The sequence below is a fragment of the Homo sapiens genome, chromosome 21 (assembly GCF_000001405.40).
Source record: "Homo sapiens chromosome 21, GRCh38.p14 Primary Assembly".
Classification (NCBI taxonomy): Eukaryota; Metazoa; Chordata; class Mammalia; order Primates; family Hominidae; genus Homo; species Homo sapiens.
In genome coordinates this window covers 14,179,995-14,199,600 of record NC_000021.9, presented here as the reverse complement: position 1 = coordinate 14,199,600, position 19,606 = coordinate 14,179,995, and the positions used below count along the sequence as shown (strand labels likewise).

Below are 19,606 nucleotides of genomic sequence, written 5' to 3'. Positions count from 1 at the left end.
TAGGCTATTTATTCCTAAATTTCAGAGCTCATCACTGGTATGTTCAGGGATTCCAATTCTTCCTGAAGTCTGTCTTGGGAGGATGTATTTGTCCAGGAATTTATCAATTTCTTCTAGATTTTCTGGTTGATATGCATAGAAGTGTCCATAATATTCTCTGGTGGTTGTGTTTCTGTGGGTTAAGTAGTAATATAACCCTTGTTACTGATTCCGTTTATTTGACTCTCCTCCTTTTCTTCTTTATTAGTCTAGCTAGCAGTCTATTTATTGTATTTTTTTTTGCAGAAAACCACCTCCTAGATTCATTGATCTCTTGAATAGTTTTTCATTTCTCAGTCTCCGTCAGTTCAGCTCTGATTTTGGTTATTTGTTGTCTCTGCTAGTTTGTGATTTGTTTGTTCTTGGTTCCCTAGTTCTTTTAGTTGTGATGTTAGATTGTTAACTTGAGATCTTTCTAACTTTTTGATGTGGTCATTTAGTGCTATCAATTTCTCTCTTATCACTGCCTTAGCTGTGTCCCAAAGATTCTGGTATGTTGCATCTTTGTTCTCATTAGTTTCAAATAATTTCTTGAAACCTTAATTTTACCCAGTATTCACTTAGGAGTAGGCTATTCTATTTCATGTAATTGTATCATTTTGAGTGAATTTCTTAGTGTTAATTTCTAATTTGATTACACTGTGGTATGAGAGACTTTTTGTTATGATTTCATTTCTTTTGTTTTGCTGAGGAGTGTTTTACTTTCAATTATGTGTCTGATTTTAGACTATTTGCCATGTGGCCTTGAAAAAAATGTGTATTCTATTGTTTTATGTGGAGATATCTATCAGGTCCATTTGACCCAGTGCTGAGTTCTGATCCTAAATATCTTTATTAATTTTCTGTCTCAATAATGTATCTCATATTATCAGTGGGTTGTTGAAGTCTCCCATTATTATTGTGTGGGATTCTGAGTCTCTTTGAAGATCTCTGAGAAAGAGCATGCTTTACAAATCTGGGTGCTCCTGTGTTGGGTACATATATATTTAGGATGGTTAGATTTTCTTGTTGAATGGAACCCTTTACCATTATGTAATGTTTTGTCTTTTTTTAATCTTTGTTGGTTTAAAATCTGTTTTGTCAGAAACTAGGATTGCAACCCCTATTTTTTTTCTGTTTTATGTTTGCTTGGTAGATTCTTCTCCATCCCTTTATTTTGAGCCCATGTTTGTCATTGCATGTGAGATGGGTCTTTTGAAGACAGCATACAAATGGGTCTTGGCACTTTATCCAGTTTGCCACTCTGTGTCTTTCAATTGGGGCATTTATCCCATTGACATTTAAGGTTAGTATTGATATATGTGGATTTTATCCTGTCCTCATGATGTTGGCTGGTTATTTTGCAGACTTGCTTATGTGGTTGCTTTATAGTGTCACTGGTCGTGTACTTCAGTATATTTTTGTAATGGCTGGTAAAGATCTTTCCTTTCCATATCTAGTGCTTTCTTCCAGAGCTCTTGTAAGGCAGGTCTGGTGGTAACAAATTCCCTCAGCCTTTGCTTGTCTGAAAAAGATCTTATATCTCTTTTGCTTATGAAGCTTAGTTTGCCCAGATATGAAATTCTAGACTGGAATTTATTTTCTTTAAGAATCTTGAACATTGGCTCCCAATCTGTTCTGGCTTGTAGGGTTTCAGCTGAAAGGTGCTCTGTTAGTCTGATGGCTCCCCTTTGTAGGTGACCTGGTTTTTCTCTCTGGCTGCCTTTAACATTTTTTTTTTTCATTTCAACCTTGGAGAATCTGATGATTATGTGTCTTGGGGATGATCTTCTTGTGAAGTATCTTACTGAGGTTCTTTGCATTTCCTGAATTTGAATGTTGGCCTCTCCGGTAGGTTGGGGAAATTTTTCTGGATGATATCCTGAAATATGTTTTCCAATTTTGTTCTATTCTCCTCATCTCTTTCAGGTACACCAGTGAGTCATAGATTTATTTGGTATCTTTACATAATCCCATATTTCTCTGAGGTTTTGTTCTTCCTTTTCATTCTTTTCTCTCTACTCTTGTCTGCCTGTCTTATTTCAGAAAGAATCTAACCCGGAGATTCTTTCCTCTGCTTGGTCTATTCTGCTATTAATGCCTGTGATTGCATTATGAAATTCTTGTAGTGTGTTTTTCAGCTCTAGCCAGTCAGTTACATTATCCTCTATACTGGCTATTTTGTTTGTCAGCACCTGCAACATTTTATCATGATTTTTAGCTTCCTACTTTTCAAATCTTAATGCTAAGTTAGAATATTAAAAAATAATACATAGTATGATAGCACTTTTTATACTTTCTTAATTTTAATGGAAATATGCCCTAGTGTTTTATCATTAGTATGATGATTCCAATTGGCATAAAATAAAAAAGCATTCTGTTATTTTAATAAATTATATTTCTATTTTAACTTATATTTAAAATAGTATAAATTATTTTTTTGTTCTTATGCTCTGTATTTTTGTGATTTGGGAATTTTGCCATTAGATTGTTGTATGGGTTACAATGACTTATATCTCATTTATCTGGTGTATGTGTGTGTGTGTGTGTGTGTGTATTTGTCCTATCTTTATGTTTGATATTAGGGTTATTCCAGGTTTTAAGAATTATTTGTTGAACTTTATATTTTTTCTATTATTTAAAAAGTATTGGACCTTTACTATGTTTTTTAAAACTAATTTTATTGATGTTTACTATAAATACAATAAAATGTACACACATTTAAATGTACTTTGATTATTTTTTGTTGTTGTTGTTGAGATAGGTTCTCCTTCTGTTGCCCAGGCTGGAGTGCAGTGGTGCTACCATGGCTCACTGCAGCCTTGATCTTCTGGGTTCAAGCAATCCTCCTACCTCAGCCTCCTGAGTAGGCAGGACCACAGGTGTGCACTACCAGACCTAGATTTTTACTTTTTTTTTGTAAAGACATCATCTTGCTACCTTGCTCAGGCTTGTCTTGAACTCCTAGCCTCCAGCTATTCTCCTGCCTTGGCCTCCCAGAGTTCTGGGATTACAGATGTGAGCCACTGCACCAAGCCTAATGAGTTTTGAAAAAATAGGTGCACCATACTTCTTATGTGCACTTATATAACAACCATAAAATCAAGATATAAAACACTTCCTGCACCCTTAAAAGTTAGTTAGCTTTTTGCAATTAATCCCTTCCACACCTCTGGTTCGATATAACCCAGACCTTCTTTATGACGCTAGATTAAATATTTCTTTTATAGAATTTCATATACATGAAAATTTAAAATATGTACTTTTTTGTTTCTGGAGTCTTTTGCTCAGCATAATGCTTTTGTGATTCATCAAAGTTTTTGCATGCATAAAAAGTTTATTTCTTTTTATTGCTGGGTAGTATTAAATTACACAGACATGCCACAGTTTATTTACCCATATACTTCTTGTTTTGTTTTTTTTTTTTACAATTTGGTGTCATGTAAAAAAAAAAAACGCTACGAACTCGTAAATGTGGTAAGGACATGTTTTTATTTCTCATGCATTAACATCCACAAGTTAATTTTTCGGGTCATATAAGTGCATGTAACCTTATAAGAAACTAACAATAATTGTATCATTTTGTCATTTCCCCCAGCAATGTTCAAGGGTTTCAGTTGCTTTACATCCTCATTGGTTTTGTCAGTTTTTAATGTTAGCCATTCTCCTGGGTATGTAGTGGTATATTATTTTGGTTTTAATTCACATTGTTTTGATGACTAGTGATGTCGAGTATTATTTCTTGAGCTTCTTAGACATTATGCCATCTTTTGTAAAATGTCTTTAATTCTTTTGCCGATTGAAACATTGAATTTTCTTATTATAATACATATACATGTTAGTCTAGATACAAGTATTTTTCAGATACACAAGTCTGCATATTCATATTCTTAACAGTGTCCTTTTAGAAGATATGTATTATTATGTAAAAGCCCAATTTATCACTTTTTTCTGTTTCATGTTTACTGTGTATCGTATCTTAGAGTCCTTTGCCTATGCCAAGATTGTTAATGTTTTCCTTAAATATTTTATATGCATAGCCTGTCCTTTGCCAGATAATGAGGCTGAATGAAAGCAAGCAGAGCTTGGAGAATGAGAGAAGGAGGATGACTCTAAGTTCTCTTTTATTCTAGACTTGGTTTAGTGCCATTTAAACTAAAGTCTGACCATTCTGGGGATCCTACTGAATGTCCCTGCATTTATTAAGGTCTTCCTACTTTGCCTAGTTGCAACTTCAATCTCTCCTAGTCTAATGTGACCTCGAAAATTGTTCAGCTTTCAGCTCTTTGTGATTCTATCCCATGTATGCAAAGGATCATATCCAGCAACATATGGATCCAGCAACATCCAGATATAAGAGACCCCTATGCAGATTTCAGAGTTTTTCTTCTGCCTGGCTCCTTCCTCTCTGACACTTTGCCTTTCAAATTCTAGTTGTCTCAGACTTCCCAGACTCTGATGTTTCTCCCCGACTTGACAAGACTGCTATACTCTGATTAATTGAGCCCTTTTTACACAGCAGTCTGGAAATGGCCTCCAAGCAGAAAGCTATGAGTTTATAGGGTTCAAATACATTGCTTCCCTTTCAGCAATCACAATTCTGTGTTTTTTGTTGTCCAGTGTCTAAATTTTTTTCCCATATAGTTTATCCACTGTTCTGGTTGTTTACAGCAGTAAGGCAAATCTGGGATGAGATATCTATAATGACAGGAATTGGATTCTTAATGTTTTGTTTTGTTTTCTTTCAATTGTGTCAAACACACAGAAAAAATTATTATTTTAGCCATTTTTAAGTTTATAGGTTAGTGGCATTAACTGCATGCACACTGTCATGCAACCATGATCATCATCCATCGCCAGAATTTTTTATCTTTCAAAACTCAAATTCTGTACCCATCAACTCTATATCTATTAAATATAACTCCTCATTTCCCCTTTTCCCTCAGCCCAGGGCAACCACAATCCTACTTTCCGTCTCTATAAATTTGACTGATCTCGGTATCTCATTTAAATTGAATCATATGGTATTTGTCCTTTTATGTCCAGTTTATTTTCACTTGACATAATGTCTTCAAAGTTATTCTTATTGTAGTATGTGTCAATTTCACCTTTTCAAAGCTGAACAATATTCCATTCTAGATATCTACCAGGTTTTGTTCATTCACCTGTTGATGGATACTTGTGTGGCTTCCACCTTTTAGCTATTGTAAATAATGCTTCTATAAACATGGGTATACAAATATATTTTCCAGTTACTGTTTTCAATTCTTTTGGGTGTATATACAGAAGTGGAATTGCTGGATAATATGGTAGGTTTATTTTCAATTTTTGAGGAGCCACCATACCATTTTCCACAGCAGCTACACCATTTTATAACCCATCAGCAATGCACAATGGTTCCAATTTCTGTACATCCTCACCAACAGTTGTTATTTTCCATTTTTGTGTGTGTGTGTTTTTAGCAAGTATCATAATAGGTAGGAAGTGGCATCTCATTATACTTTTGATTTCTGTTTCCCCAATTATTAGTGATAGTGATATTGAGCTTGTTTTCATAAGCTTATGGAACTTTTGGATATCTTCATTGATAAGTCAATTTAAGTCTTTGCCCAGTTTTAATTGGGTTGTTTGTGTTTTTGTTGTTGAGTGATAGAAGTTCATTATAATATTCTGATATTAATTAATTAATCCATATCAGATATATGATTAATAAATATTTTCTCACATTCAGTGGGTTGCCTTTTTACTTTGTTGATAATGTCCTTTGATGCATAAAAGTTTTACTTTTGATTAAGTCCAATTTACTCATTTTTTTTTTCTGTTGTCGCCTGTGGTTCTGTTCTTGTAATATTCAAGAAATCAATGCCAAATCCAAGGTATGAATGTTTCCCCCTTGTTTTCTTCTAAGAATTTTTACTGTTTCAGCATTTTAATATATTTGTCTCTTGTAACAGATTTTAACTTAGTTAATTTGCTTGATGTTAGTGCAGCATTTCTGCTCACTTTTAGTTACATTTTGCATTGAATATCTTTTTACATTCTTTAAGTTTCAGCCTATATGTCTTTAAATCTAAACTGAGTCTCTTGTAGGTAACATATAGTCTGGTCCTGATTTTTATTCATTCTGCCAATATGTTTTCAGTTGGGGGGGTTGTTTAGTCTACCTACATTTAAAATTATCATTGATAGCAAAGCACTTATTTTTACCACTTTGTTATTAGTTTTCTGTATGTCTTAAAGCCTTTTTGTCCCTCATTTCCTCCACTACTGCCTTTCTTTGTGTTTAATTGATTTTTTTGGTAGCAGCGTGTTTTGATTCTCTTCTCATTTTCTTTCTTAAATATTCTATAGATGTTTTCTTTTTGATTACATTGAGGATTACAAATAATAGCCCAAAATCATTATCTTTTTAAAATTGATACTAACTTAACTCCAATACCATAACAAAATTCTCTACTTCTTTACAGTTCCACTCTCCCCTACTTAATTTTACCGATGACACAAATTACATCATTATATATTGTGTACCCATTAACATGCATTCATAATTATTTTTATTCATTTGTCTTTTAAGTCCTGTAGAAAATAAAAAGTAAAGTTACAAAGCAAAACTGTTTTTATTTGTCATATATTTGTCTTTACCACAGAAACTTATATTTTTGTATTTTTGTATGACTTCTAGTTACTTGTCTAGTGTACTTTCTTTTAAATGTGAAGGACTTGCATTAACATTTCATGTAGAGTGGGTCTGGAGGTAAGGAATTCCCAGCTTATGCTTGTGTGGGAATGTTGGAATGTTTTAATTTCTTCCTCATTTTTAAAGGACAATTTTGTTGGATATGGAATTCTAGGTTGATAGTTTTTCTTTCAACATTTAAAATATATCTTTCCATTGCCTTCTGCCCTGCAAAGTTTCTGCTGAAGAGTCCACTTATAATCTCATCAGGGATTTCTGTAAGTTTTTGTTGTCTAGAATTTTATTTTTCTTTCTATTCCTAAATCTAGTAGAATTGAATCAATTTAATGTTCCTTAAGAGTTTGACAATACATTAGTTTAACTTTTTTGTGTGTCATTTGATAACTGTTTTTGTTGTTGTTGTTTGTTTCTTTGTTTGTTTTGAGACAGAGTCTTGCTCTGTTACCCAGGCTGGAGTGCAGTGGTGTGAACTCGGTCACTGCAGCCTCCACCTCCCAGGTTCAAGTGATTCTCCTGCCTCAGCCTCCCAAGTAGCTGGGATTACAGGCGCCCACAACCACACCCAGCTAATTTTTGTATTTTTAGTAGAAATGAGGTTTCACCATGTTGTCCAGGCTTATCTCGAACTCCTGATCTCAGGTGACCCACCCAGCTCGGCCTCCCAAAGTGGTGAGATTACAGGCGTTAGCCACCGTGCCCACTGTATCATTTGATGACTTTTGTTTTTATTCTCTTTACTTGATATTAATGTTGCTGATGAAATCGACTATATGATGTCACAATAATGCCAAAATAAAATAAAAATAAAATAAAACTCTTAACCCTCAGTGGGATTTGATGTTAAGCAGCTGTTACTCACACTTGTGGAGTCATATGGGAGTTGGTTAGGTAACACTGTTTTTCTTGGTTCAATTCATGTCTGGCTATTGAATGACTGTCAGTCAGCTGGGGTGACTAGAACCTAGCACATTGGAGGACTTTGCACTGTTACAACTGTCTTTCCTTTTCTAACAGGCCAGACTATGGATGCTTTTGTGGTGATAGCAGAGGTTAGGACGTCCAAGCCCACATACACAAGCTGATTTTAAGCCTCTGCTTGCATTAAGTTTCCTAAGGTTCTATTTTCTAGGGCACGCCCTACATTTGTGTCCATATCAAGGAGTGGAACAAGTCACCCCACTTATGATGTAACTAAAATTTCCAAGAGAAATGAGATGGATTCAGGGAGTGGTGAATTGGTGCCATTATTGCACTATAACACACCAACCTATTTTCTTTTTATTTTGTATAGAATATACTTAGTTCTCTATTTATTTAAAATTGCCTGTGTACCTCCTTTAAATATCTTGTTACTTTTTAAAAAAAGTTTATTTTTATTTTTTGCTTTTTAATAGGCAGGGTACAGAACTGCTCACATATCATATATATTCTTTTCTCTAGTGTAATTTCATCATTTTGTTTCATTCTTTCTACTTTATATATTTCCATTTTCTTTTTTTTTTTTTTTTTGAGACGGAGTCTTGCTCTGTCGCCCAGGCTGGAGTGCAGTGGCGGGATCTCGGCTCACTGCAAGCTCCGCCTCCCGGGTTCCCGCCATTCTCCTGCCTCAGCCTCCCAAGTAGCTAGGACTACAGGCGCCCGCCACTACGCCCGGCTATTTTTTGTAGTTTTAGTAGAGACGGGGTTTCACCGTTTTAGCCGGGATGGTCTCGATCTCCTGACCTCGTGATCCGCCCGCCTCGGCCTCCTGAGTAGCTGGGATTACAGGCATGCACCACCATGTCTGGCTAATTTTTGTATTTTTTACTCCTGCTCCAGTTTTTGAGATGTATTTTTTCTTGCATTCTAATGAAAAATATTTTATATCTTTTAATAGATAATAGATATATTTGTTGATTATATTAGGTGATGATTTCTTTCTCTTGTATTTATCACCAGGATCCTACTGGTTTATTCCTCATTACTTATTCTAGGGCCAGGTAAAATTGACTTTAGCTTGGAGTGGACCAGCACTTTGGATGTATTGATTGGTATTGATATGTATTAAATTCTTGTCAGAATTCCAGGTGGTGAGAAGGTGGATGTATAGATTTCCCACACAATTTGCACGGTGTAGCATGCATTCATATTGTATTGTGTTTCAATATATTTCTCTTCCTCATTCTCTGATATTTACAACAAATGAAATAATTTTTCCAAATATCTCTCAGCTGTTAATATAGGAATGGAATGCAAGTCTTGCTTCTCCTTCATTGCCTTCCTTATTTCTCTTCATCTAATCAATTGTGACAATATTGTGTATATACTTGAAAACTAGAATTATTGTAAGAAATGCATATTATCTCAGTATTAAAATAATACGTTACCTCTTGTTTTGCTATGTTTTTCTGGGATAGATTCTTTAAAGTGGAATTACTGGCATAAAGTGCATTAATACTTTTGTTAATTTTTGGTATGGATTGAAAAATTATTTCCTGAATATTATTATCAAATTAAAGTGCTAGAAGCAGTATGAACATATACTATCATCTGGAAAAAAAACCACTATGGGGATTATTTGCTTATTATGAAAAAAATAGAATCACAAAAATCTGTGAAAAAGAAAACAAAAGGCAGTCATCATTTCATTGTCTAGCAATGACTATTGCTATTCATCTGGTTTAGTTATTTATTTTCTGCCCTAGTTCTTTCTAGGGTAGATAGATAAGTATATAGAGCAATATATAGATAGATAGTTAATAGTTATAGAATGCACACATGGATGAAAATACTATAAGGATGAGATTTAAGATGTTTTACATTTTTGTCCCATTATACATAACCCAGCGGTTAAAGTCTTTACACTTATTACAAATGGTTTGTAAGTCCTAGAAAGAAAATTAAGAAAAAGATTTGTTAAGTTTATGTGTACAGTAAGCACACACATGCAAAATTTCAAAGGAATGTTGTATCAACTTATGATCTCAACATTCATGTTATATTAATATTTATTATTTAATTTTTTGAAACATTTTAAATTTTATGGGGAAAATATTACTTTATTGTTTTGTATTGATGACTAGACAAGTTAAATATATTTTATGCTAATGCTTATTGTACAAGGACTACTCTGTAAAACTTTTGTTAAAGTTTATAATCAATGTATCAACTTTGATTAGTACCCATTGCACTTTATTAACAATCTTATTTTCGCTCACACCCATTACTATTATATTTTGTACAGATAAAAATCTCTTCTTAATTTTTTAACCAATCACATTTATATTTTCCATTACTTTTGGTTCAGAAAATCTTTTTACATAATTAATACATTACCTTCAACATTGCAGTTGCTCAGTAAATTATGTTGAAGGGCTCATGAAATGAAATCCTCCCTACCCTCCACATTTAATTCTGTTCTTTGCAATAGCAACAGGAATAAAATACTATCCCAGTACTCAGCTTGACTGACATTTTCTTATTTCAGATAATAAAAGACCATGCCTTGAATTCTCTCAGCTAAGTGTAAAGGATTCCTTCAGAGATTTATTTATTCCGAGAATAGAGACCATTCTGATGATGTATACAAGGAACAACCTAAACTGTGCTGAGCCACTGTTTGAACAAAATAACTCACTTAATGTTAATTTCAACACACAAAAGAAAACAGTCTGGCTTATTCACGGATACAGACCAGTAGGCTCCATCCCATTATGGCTTCAGAACTTCGTAAGGATTTTGCTGAATGAAGAAGATATGAATGTAATTGTAGTAGACTGGAGCCGGGGTGCTACAACTTTTATTTATAATAGAGCAGTTAAAAACACCAGAAAAGTTGCTGTGAGTTTGAGTGTGCACATTAAAAATCTTTTGGTAAGTCTGGGAATTTTATGTATTATACATGCTATACAATATATTATACGTGCTATACAATATGCAGTGTGTTACATTCAATACCACAAAGTGATAATAAACTATATACTTTTCCCCATAAGCATTAACAATTACTGGTTTGATATACCAATGTATGCAGCCATCTTTTCTTTGTCTGCCTAAATGAATAATTCTATACCTAGACATATCCTGTGTTATTTTTAAAACATTATATTAAAATTTAGTAATTATTAGGTTTTATTTAAAAATCTTCTGAGATTTCTTTTAACTCTACCTATACCAACCTCAGAATAAAATAGTTATCCTATGTGGGTGGGGGAAATAAACTTTATAATTATTACAATCTTCAGGTATCTTTTAAAATATACGGCTAAAATATTTGCATATAATCGAGTGTGAATTGGTAAAAGTAAAGAAAAATCTTTTTTTTTTTTTTTTTTTTTTTGAGACAGGTTCTCACTCTGTTGCCCAAGCTGGAGTACAGTGGCACGATCTTGGCTCACTGCAGCCTGCACCTCCCAGGGTCAAGTGATACTCCTGCATCAGCCACCCGAGTAGCTGGGATTACTGGTGCCCACCACAATGCCCAGCTAATTTTTGTATTTTTAGTAGAGACGAGGTTTCACCATGTTGGCCAGGCTGGTCTCGAACTCCTGACCTCAGGTGATCTGCCCACCTTGGCCTCCCAAAGTGCTGGGATTACAGGCAAAAAATCATTTTGAAAAGTAGCATACTTCTGTCAGCTTTGGAGGTGAACATCAGATTCATTCAAGTCTGCTCAGGATTTGAATGGATCAAATAAAATTCAGTCCAGTTCTATGTTATCTGCACTGTGAATGATTTTTGTTTATTAAGTCAACCCTTAGGGAGATCCATGTCTATCCTAAAAGAAAGTAGGTAGTTGTGGGTACTTGAGAGAAAGAAGGGTGATATCTGATTCGGGGGCATTATTGAGCTTGAAATTTAAACTTGAGTTGTGTTGTGCTGAACTTTCAAGACTCTGCTAAAAATTGAACAAATAACAACACTTCCAAGAAGCCGTTATATGTAGTGGCCAGGGGTCAGACTGGATGGGTTCAAACTGTATGTCCATCTTTTATCATCTGTGTAATTTTGAACAATTACATAGCCTCTCTGTGCTGCATTTCCTTATTTGTACATATAGAATAACAACATGTTACAAAAATATTTATATGAATATTGAATTAATATATATGTGCTTAATCAGTGGGTGACATTTAGTAATCATTAAGATCAACTTTCATTATTATTTTTACACCCCCAAATTTGGACAAAACAATACCATTGCTGTAGAGAGACAGAGGAGGTAATTGATTCAACCATCTCCACCAACAGACTATTAATTACATCATTGATTTTTCCTGATGTTACTGGTGTTTTCTCAACTAATAAATATGTGCCTCAAAGTGTGGAGAATGTGAATATTAAATAGAAATATTTAGGAAAATTTGTAATATTAGATAAAATTCTAACAGTGCCTTTGCTTACAGAGGCTTCATATTACAGAGGAAGATTTAAATGACCGGCAGCACTGGAGTCTCGAGAGATACTCCCTTATGTTTTGGGGCATGGCTGTGAGAAATCTGAAGAAAATCATAACCTTGTGCCTTGAAAGCCTGAGGGTAGTTTTTCATTAGTGGCAAGCGCTCCACATCTTTCTGTAAGCCATCAGACATATCACTGTGTGGGCTGGACCATGATCTGTCCACAAGTCTCACAATAGCTCCCCAAGAGTGTGGTGGAAGTACACTCTCATGTAGTCTTCTAATTTCCCTTCCTGGAGCTGAGACTAAGAGGTATTCAGACGTTGGCCTTGGAAGATTGGATGCATCACTCCTGAGCTGGTGATCAGGGGAAGGAAGTCACCTAAAATCCATAAAATTAATTTCATCATCTCTGAAGTGAGAATCATTATTGAACTTTTGTGAATCTTCCTAAGGTTTTTGACACAACCTGATCAGATAAAACAAGAAGGCAAATTAGCATAATTTTGGAGTGAGACCTAGGTTTGTGTTTTAGTCCATTTGGGCTGCTGTAACAAAATACCATAGGCTAGGTAGCTTATAAACAAGAAACATTTATTTCTCATAGTTTCAGGGTCTGAGAAGTCCAAGGAGAAGGCATCAGCAGATTCAGTGTCTGGTGAGGGCCCAATTCCTGGTTCATAGATTATGCCTTTTCACTGTGTCCTCACATGGTGGAAGAGTAGAAGGAGATCCCTCAGGTCTCTTCTATCTGGGCAGTAATCCCTTTCATGAGGGTTCCACACTCATGACATAATTCTCCTAACCCACAAGAAGGCCTCACCTCCAAATATCATCACCTTGGGGATTAGAATTCCAACATATGAATTTTAGGGAGACACAAACATTCAGACCACAGCAGCTTGGAATCCATCTTTTCCTCTTATGAATCTATGTGGCTTTGGGAAAGTTGTTACTTCTGGCAGTTTCCTTAATAAAATTGGAATTGATCCAATATTATTTATTTAGCATTTAATAGGTGCTACTGACAGTTTTAGGCATTAGAATAAAAATGAATAACTCATAACGAAATTGGAAGTATTAAATATGAACTTTGTAAGGCCCATATCGAGGTAGCTAGCAGAAAGTAAGCACCTAGTAATGTTGATTATTATAAAACACTCTGCTAATTAATTGCATTTTGCATACTGTTCTGCATGAGATGATACAATTTTAAAATAAATTGATATTAAAAATGAATAAAGAAAAATCAAATATTTTGTGGCAAAAGTTGAACAAATATATAGTCATCTTGAAATTATAAAGTCTCTTTCCCGATATCCCCAAAATGAATCAAGCCAGAAAAATAATGAATTTTGAAATGTCGATATATGAGGGGGGCATGATTTGTTATTACTTGAAATGAATACTGTAATATTGCCTTTCTCTTTAATTGCAGAAGCATGGTGCATCTCTTGACAATTTTCATTTCATAGGTGTGAGCTTAGGGGCTCATATCAGTGGATTTGTTGGAAAGATATTTCATGGTCAACTTGGAAGAATAACAGGTAAAATTATTTTTATAAAATTATTGCTTTAGCATACTTTTAAGTATCAGAAGTTACTTTGCTAATTTTTTTTTTTTTGAGACAGAGTCTCGCTCTGTTGCCCAGGCTGCAGTGCAGTGGTGCGATCTCGGCTCACTGCAACCTCTGCTTCGTGGGCTTAAGTGATTCTCCTGCCTCAGCCTCCTGAGTAGCTGGGATTACAGGTGCCCACTCACTACCACACCGGCTAATTTTTGTTTTTTTTAAGTAGAGACAGGGTTTCACCATGTTGGCCAGACTGGTCTCTAACTCCTGACCTCAAGTAATCTGCCTGCCTCGGCCTTCCAAAGTACTTGGATTACAGGCATGAGCCACTGTGGCCAGCCACTTTGCTTAAAATTTAGTGGGTACAATAATTACTCAATAGAAATTATGTACAAACATTTATTTTTTCTATGTTATATTTAAATATTGGCTTTGTTTTAGTTAGACTCTAAAGTTTTGTTAAGTTCTCAACAGAGCTTAAGTTACCCAAATGGAAATGGGAGAAAAACATCTATTCCTGCAGTCCCAGCTAAATTTTAAGGACATACTATCGTAAGAATACAGAAGTAAATATGACTCATTAAAGAAAAATACTTTATGTATTAGCTAAGAATATAACTATTTACTTAGTTATCACAAACTTTGATGCATTTCAACTCTCTAAAAATTTTTACTTGAATGCTACAAAAGAATCAGGAGTTGCATCCAATTTGAGGGACTCTGGGTCCCCCTTCATATTTCTATAACAAAGTTACTGCATCCAGGAAGCTCAGTCATCTAATAAGGCTGATATGGATTTTCATTCTTTCCTCTATGAGTGGTAGTGACTTTAGGAATAGGAGGATAATATTCCTTTCAACCAATTTACCTTTTTTGTTTTGAAAAAAAAGCAATTATTCATATCTATGGCCATAGAAGACTTATAATAACTTTAAGTGTTGATAAAAGAAAATAGTGTCCTTAGTTAAGTTTCAAAAAAGGGGGAAAGAGGTGAATAACATATAGATAGTTATCTTTACAAACCTTATGCATACCCTTACTTACTCTGATTAGTTTTAATGTTATCAAATATGTGTGAAAACAAATTAACTGAATGAATGTAGGAGGGTCAAGAAATAGCAGTTTAGCCAGGATTTACTTATACAAAGTTCCCTAGTGCTTAAAGCTCATTCTCTTTCCAAAACCACACTTGCTCAATTTGTACTTTAAATTGTGTTTACACATATTAGTCTAGCTTGAATGGCCCAAATACCAGGCAATCATCAGGTACTAAAAGGCCACCAAACATGGAGGTTCTATATCAGAATGATTTATAGGAAGATAGATGATTCTGTCTCATTCAGTCAAGTGGGTTAAATAAAATGGGGATAATAGAGGTTTTTGAAATGAAAAACATTATATTTTACTTTTTTTCTAGGAATTTTTCAGTTTTATTTAAATTTTTTTTAAATTTTATTATTATTATACTTTAAGTTTTAGGGTACATGTGCACAACGTGCAGGTTTGTTACATATGTATACATGTGCCATGTTGGTGTGCTGCACCCATTAACTCATCATTTAGCATTAGGTATATCGCCTAATGCTATCCCTCCCCACTTCCCCCACCCCACAACAGTCCCCAGTGTGTGATGTTCCCCTTCCTGTGTCCATGTGTTCTCACTGTTCAATTCCCACCTATGAGTGAGAACATGCGGTGTTTGGTTTTTTGTCCTTGCGATAGTTTGCTGAGAATGATGGTTTCCAGTTTCATTCATGTCCCTACAAAGGACATGAACTCATCCTTTTTTATGGCTGCATAGTATTCCATGCTGTGTATGTGCCACATTTTCTTAATCCGGTCTATCGTTGTTGGACATTTAGGTTGGTTCCAAGTCTTTGCTATTGTGAATAGTGCCGCTATAAACATACATGTGCATGTGTCTTTATAGCAGCATGATTTATAATCCTTTGCGTATATACCCAGTAATGGGATTGCTGGGTCAAATGGTATTTCTAGTTCTAGATCCCTGAGGAATCGCCACACTGACTTCCACAGTGGTTGAACTAGTTTACAGTCCCACCAACAGTGTAAAAGTATTCCTATTTCTCCACATCCTCTCCAGCACCTATTGTTTCCTGACTTTTTAATGATCGCCATTCTAACTGGTGTGAGATGGTATCTCATTGTGGTTTTGATTTGCATTTCTCTGATGGCCAGTGATGATGAGCATTTTTTCATGTGTTTTTTGGCTGCATAGGTGTCTTCTTTTGAGAAGTGTCTGCTCATATCCTTCACCCACTTTTTGATGGGGTTGTTCGTTTTTTTCTTGTAAATTTGTTTGAGTTCATTGTAGATTTTGGATATTAGCCCTTTGTCAGATGAGTAGATTGCAAAAATTTTCTCCCATTCTATAGGTTGCCTGTTCACTCTGATGGTAGTTTCTTTTGCTGTGCAGAAGCTCTTTAGTTTAATTAGATCCCATTTCTCAATTTTGGCTTTTGTTGCCATTGCTTTTGGTGATTTAGACATGAAGTCCTTGCCCATGCCTATGTCCTGAATGGTATTGCCTAAGTTTTCTTCTAGGGTTTTTATCGCTTTAAGACTAACATGTAAGTCTTTAATCCATCTTGAATTAATTTTTGTATAAGGTGTAAGGAAGGGATCCAGTTTCAGCTTTCTACATATGGCTAGCCAGTTTTCCCAGCACCATTTATTAAATAGGGAATCCTTTCCCCATTTCTTGTTTTTCTCAGGTTTGTCAAAGATCAGATAGTTGTAGATATGCAGCATTATTTCTGAGGGCTCTGTTCTGTTCCATTGGTCTATTTCTCTGTTTTGGTACCAGTACCATGCTGTTTTGGTTACTGTAGCCTTGTAGCATAGTTTGAAGTCAGGTAGCATGATGCCTCCAGCTTTGTTCTTTTGGCTTAGGATTGACTTGGCGATGCGGGCTCTTTTTTGGTTCCATATGAACTTTAAAGTAGTTTTTTCGAATTCTGTGAAGAAAGTCATTGGTAGCTTGATGGGGATGGCATTGAATCTATAAATTACCTTTTCACAATATATTGATTCTTCCTACCCATGAGCATGGAATGTTCTTCCATTTGTTTGTATCCTCTTTTATTTCATTGAGCAGTGGTTTGTAGTTCTCCTTGAAGAGGTCCTTCACATCCCTTGTAAGTTGGATTCCTAGGTATTTTATTCTCTTTGAAGCAACTGTGAATGCCATTTGTTTGTATCCTCTTTTATTTCATTGAGCAGTGGTTTGTAGTTCTCCTTGAAGAGGTCCTTCACATCCCTTGTAAGTTGGATTCCTAGGTATTTTATTCTCTTTGAAGCAATTGTGAATGGGAGTTCACTCATGATTTGGCTCTCTGTTTGTCTGTTATTGGTGCTATATTTTACTTTCAAATATCTTTTTAAGATGATTGTTTCTTCATTGTATAGATGTTCTCAAAAAACTGAATTTTATCTTCTCTCTCCTCTTTTTGACAATTCCCAGAAAGTCATGAGCCTAGCATTTTTATTTAGAAATTAAGATAACCCAGAAATAATATTCACACTCCATGGAATTTAAAATATATTTTTTCTTTTCTTAAGAGTGTGTGAGAAAGTCTTACGAGAAATGGATAAGATAACATGATTTATCCCATAGCCCAAATTATATTTGGCACCTAAAAAAGCTTTTCAGGTCTATCTACAGATAAATCCAAAGTGAGCTAGTAATGTACAGAGTTCAAGAGAGGACCAGATGGTATTCATTATTTTTTTCCTTCAGGAGAAATAGTTGTAGTTATTATTAAATATAAACTACTTTATTACTCCTAATTCAGTCTCACAGAAAAATACTCCAAAAATTCCGACAATATTTTGTTGCGGCTTAACCTGAAAAGCTCTGAAGGTTAGTAGTATTATTCAAATACTGAAGTTACCTGCTATTCATTCACTTCCATTTGTTTTTAGATATGTTCTTGGATAGGTTTAAACTAAAAGTATAAATGCTTTTTATGTTTATAATGCAGTAATAATGGAAGTATGCAATGTAAGGAGCTCTGTGGACTTGATGAGACTGATTATTTCTTTCTTGCTTTCCAGGTCTTGACCCTGCTGGGCCAAGGTTCTCCAGAAAACCACCATATAGCAGATTAGATTACACGGATGCAAAGTTTGTGGATGTCATCCATTCTGACTCCAATGGTAACAAATCAGGATTTATTACCTAATTATTTGAAAATGAAAAGGAAAATGTAGACCTTGGGCAAGAGGAGGGCATAAGAAGAAAAAACATCATGGATAAAATGATTTTAAATCTGTAATTATAGAATGATAATATTTCCCAAGCAATATTTCTTAGGGTTAGTGATTTCCTGCATTGTCAAATGGCACTCTTTGACTTCAGTTTGCCTCCTTCGGGTTTCAAGATGTGTCATGTCATCCTAAAACACTGAAATAGATAACTAAGAGTTCATTCTGTTCATGCTGTTGACAATTTTATTGATTTGATCACATTTTCCCCCATGTTTAATGTTCCTGATGTATTTAGGTTACCATTCTCCCCGCTTATTTTCTTGCTATGATATATATCGACTAGAACTGAACACAGCATTTCAGCCACAAATAAAGAATAGTCTTCCTTAAATGTAAGGAAATAATCTTTCTATTGTTTTTAATTATCTTAGCTGAAAATCTCTAACAGGGTATTGGATTTTTGGCCAGAGTACAATTGAACAGACACTTTTAAGAAACAGACTGTCCTCGTGCCTTTCCTGATTTGAATTTGTTGATACTAATATTTACTGAGCACTTCCTATACATTAGGCAGTGTTTTGAGTGCTTGTATGAATTAATTAGTGAATTCTACTAAATTTCCGTTAGATAGATAACAACTGTCATTCCCTTTACAGTTGAGGAAACTAGAATAAAGGTTGTAAGGTCAGTAAATGGCAGAGTCAGAATTTGAAATCATATGTTTTGATTCCAGATGATGCACTTAACCAGTATATTATTCTTATAAACCGAATCAGGAGAGGATATGGTGGTAAGATAGAGACAAGGGCAGTGACACTAAGATTGCTCCTCTGAATTTATCTTGTGGTGATCTATACTTGGGTTTATGTGTCTGTGTGTGAGATACGTAAATGCCATAGATGCAATTTTTCAACCACCATGACTACATGTCAATAGACTGAGACTCCACTGGTAACAATTCTGCTCCTTTTTGGAATCTAGGTTCACCTACTTCTATAAGCAGTCAAAACCAAAGAAGTCATAGTTTAGTGTTATCCAAACCTCTCATGTCTTATTATCTCTAACTCTTTATATCAGCTTGGCACATCCACATAAAACACATCTATTGGCCAATTAATGTGTAGTCCCTTGTCTGAATTTTTTCTGAAACTCTAACTTATTGGGGGAACCCACCCCCGATATTTCAATGTAGGTTCTTTCTATTTTCCATAAGTGTCGGCCAGCTGAGAAATAAAGAGAGACAGTACAAAGAGAGGAATTTTACAGCTGGTCCACCAGGGGTGACATCACATATCAGTAGGACCACAATGCCCGCTTGAGTCTCAGACCAGCAAGTTTTTATTAAGGGTTTTAAAAAGGGAAGGGGGTGTAAGAACAGGGAGTAGGTACAAAGATCACATGCTTCAAAGGGCAAAAAGCAGAAATATTGATAAGGTTCTATGTTCAGCAGTGCATGTATTGTCTTGATAAACATCTTAAACAACAAAAAACAGGGTTCAAGAGCAGAGAACTGGTCCAACCACAAGTTACCAGGGCGGAGCTTTTCCCCACCCTAGGAAGCCTGAGGGTACTGCAGGAGACCAGGGCATATCTCAGTCTTTATCTCAACCACATAAGACAGACATTCCCAGAGCGGCCATTTATAGATCTCCTCCCAGGAATGCATTCATTTCCCAGGGTATTAATATTAATATTCCTCGCTAGGAAAAGAA

General features: G+C 35.1%; 1 protein-coding gene across 8 annotated transcripts in view; it reads left to right on the top strand.

Annotated features, from left to right (window-relative positions):
- The window catches only part of LIPI (lipase I), a 102,144-nt gene that overhangs the window by 11,355 nt on the left and 71,183 nt on the right, over positions 1-19,606 (top strand). For 7 of the 8 annotated variants that reach the window (NM_198996.4, NM_001302999.2, NM_001379565.1 and 4 more), the window contains exons 2-4: positions 10,182-10,567; positions 13,532-13,640; positions 17,742-17,843. In NM_198996.4, coding sequence (NP_945347.3) covers positions 10,271-10,567; positions 13,532-13,640; positions 17,742-17,843 — 508 coding nt within the window. In that variant the 5' untranslated portion in view covers positions 10,182-10,270. The remainder of the gene's footprint in view (positions 1-10,181; positions 10,568-13,531; positions 13,641-17,741; positions 17,844-19,606) is intronic. The other variant, NM_001379566.1, reaches the window with a different exon arrangement.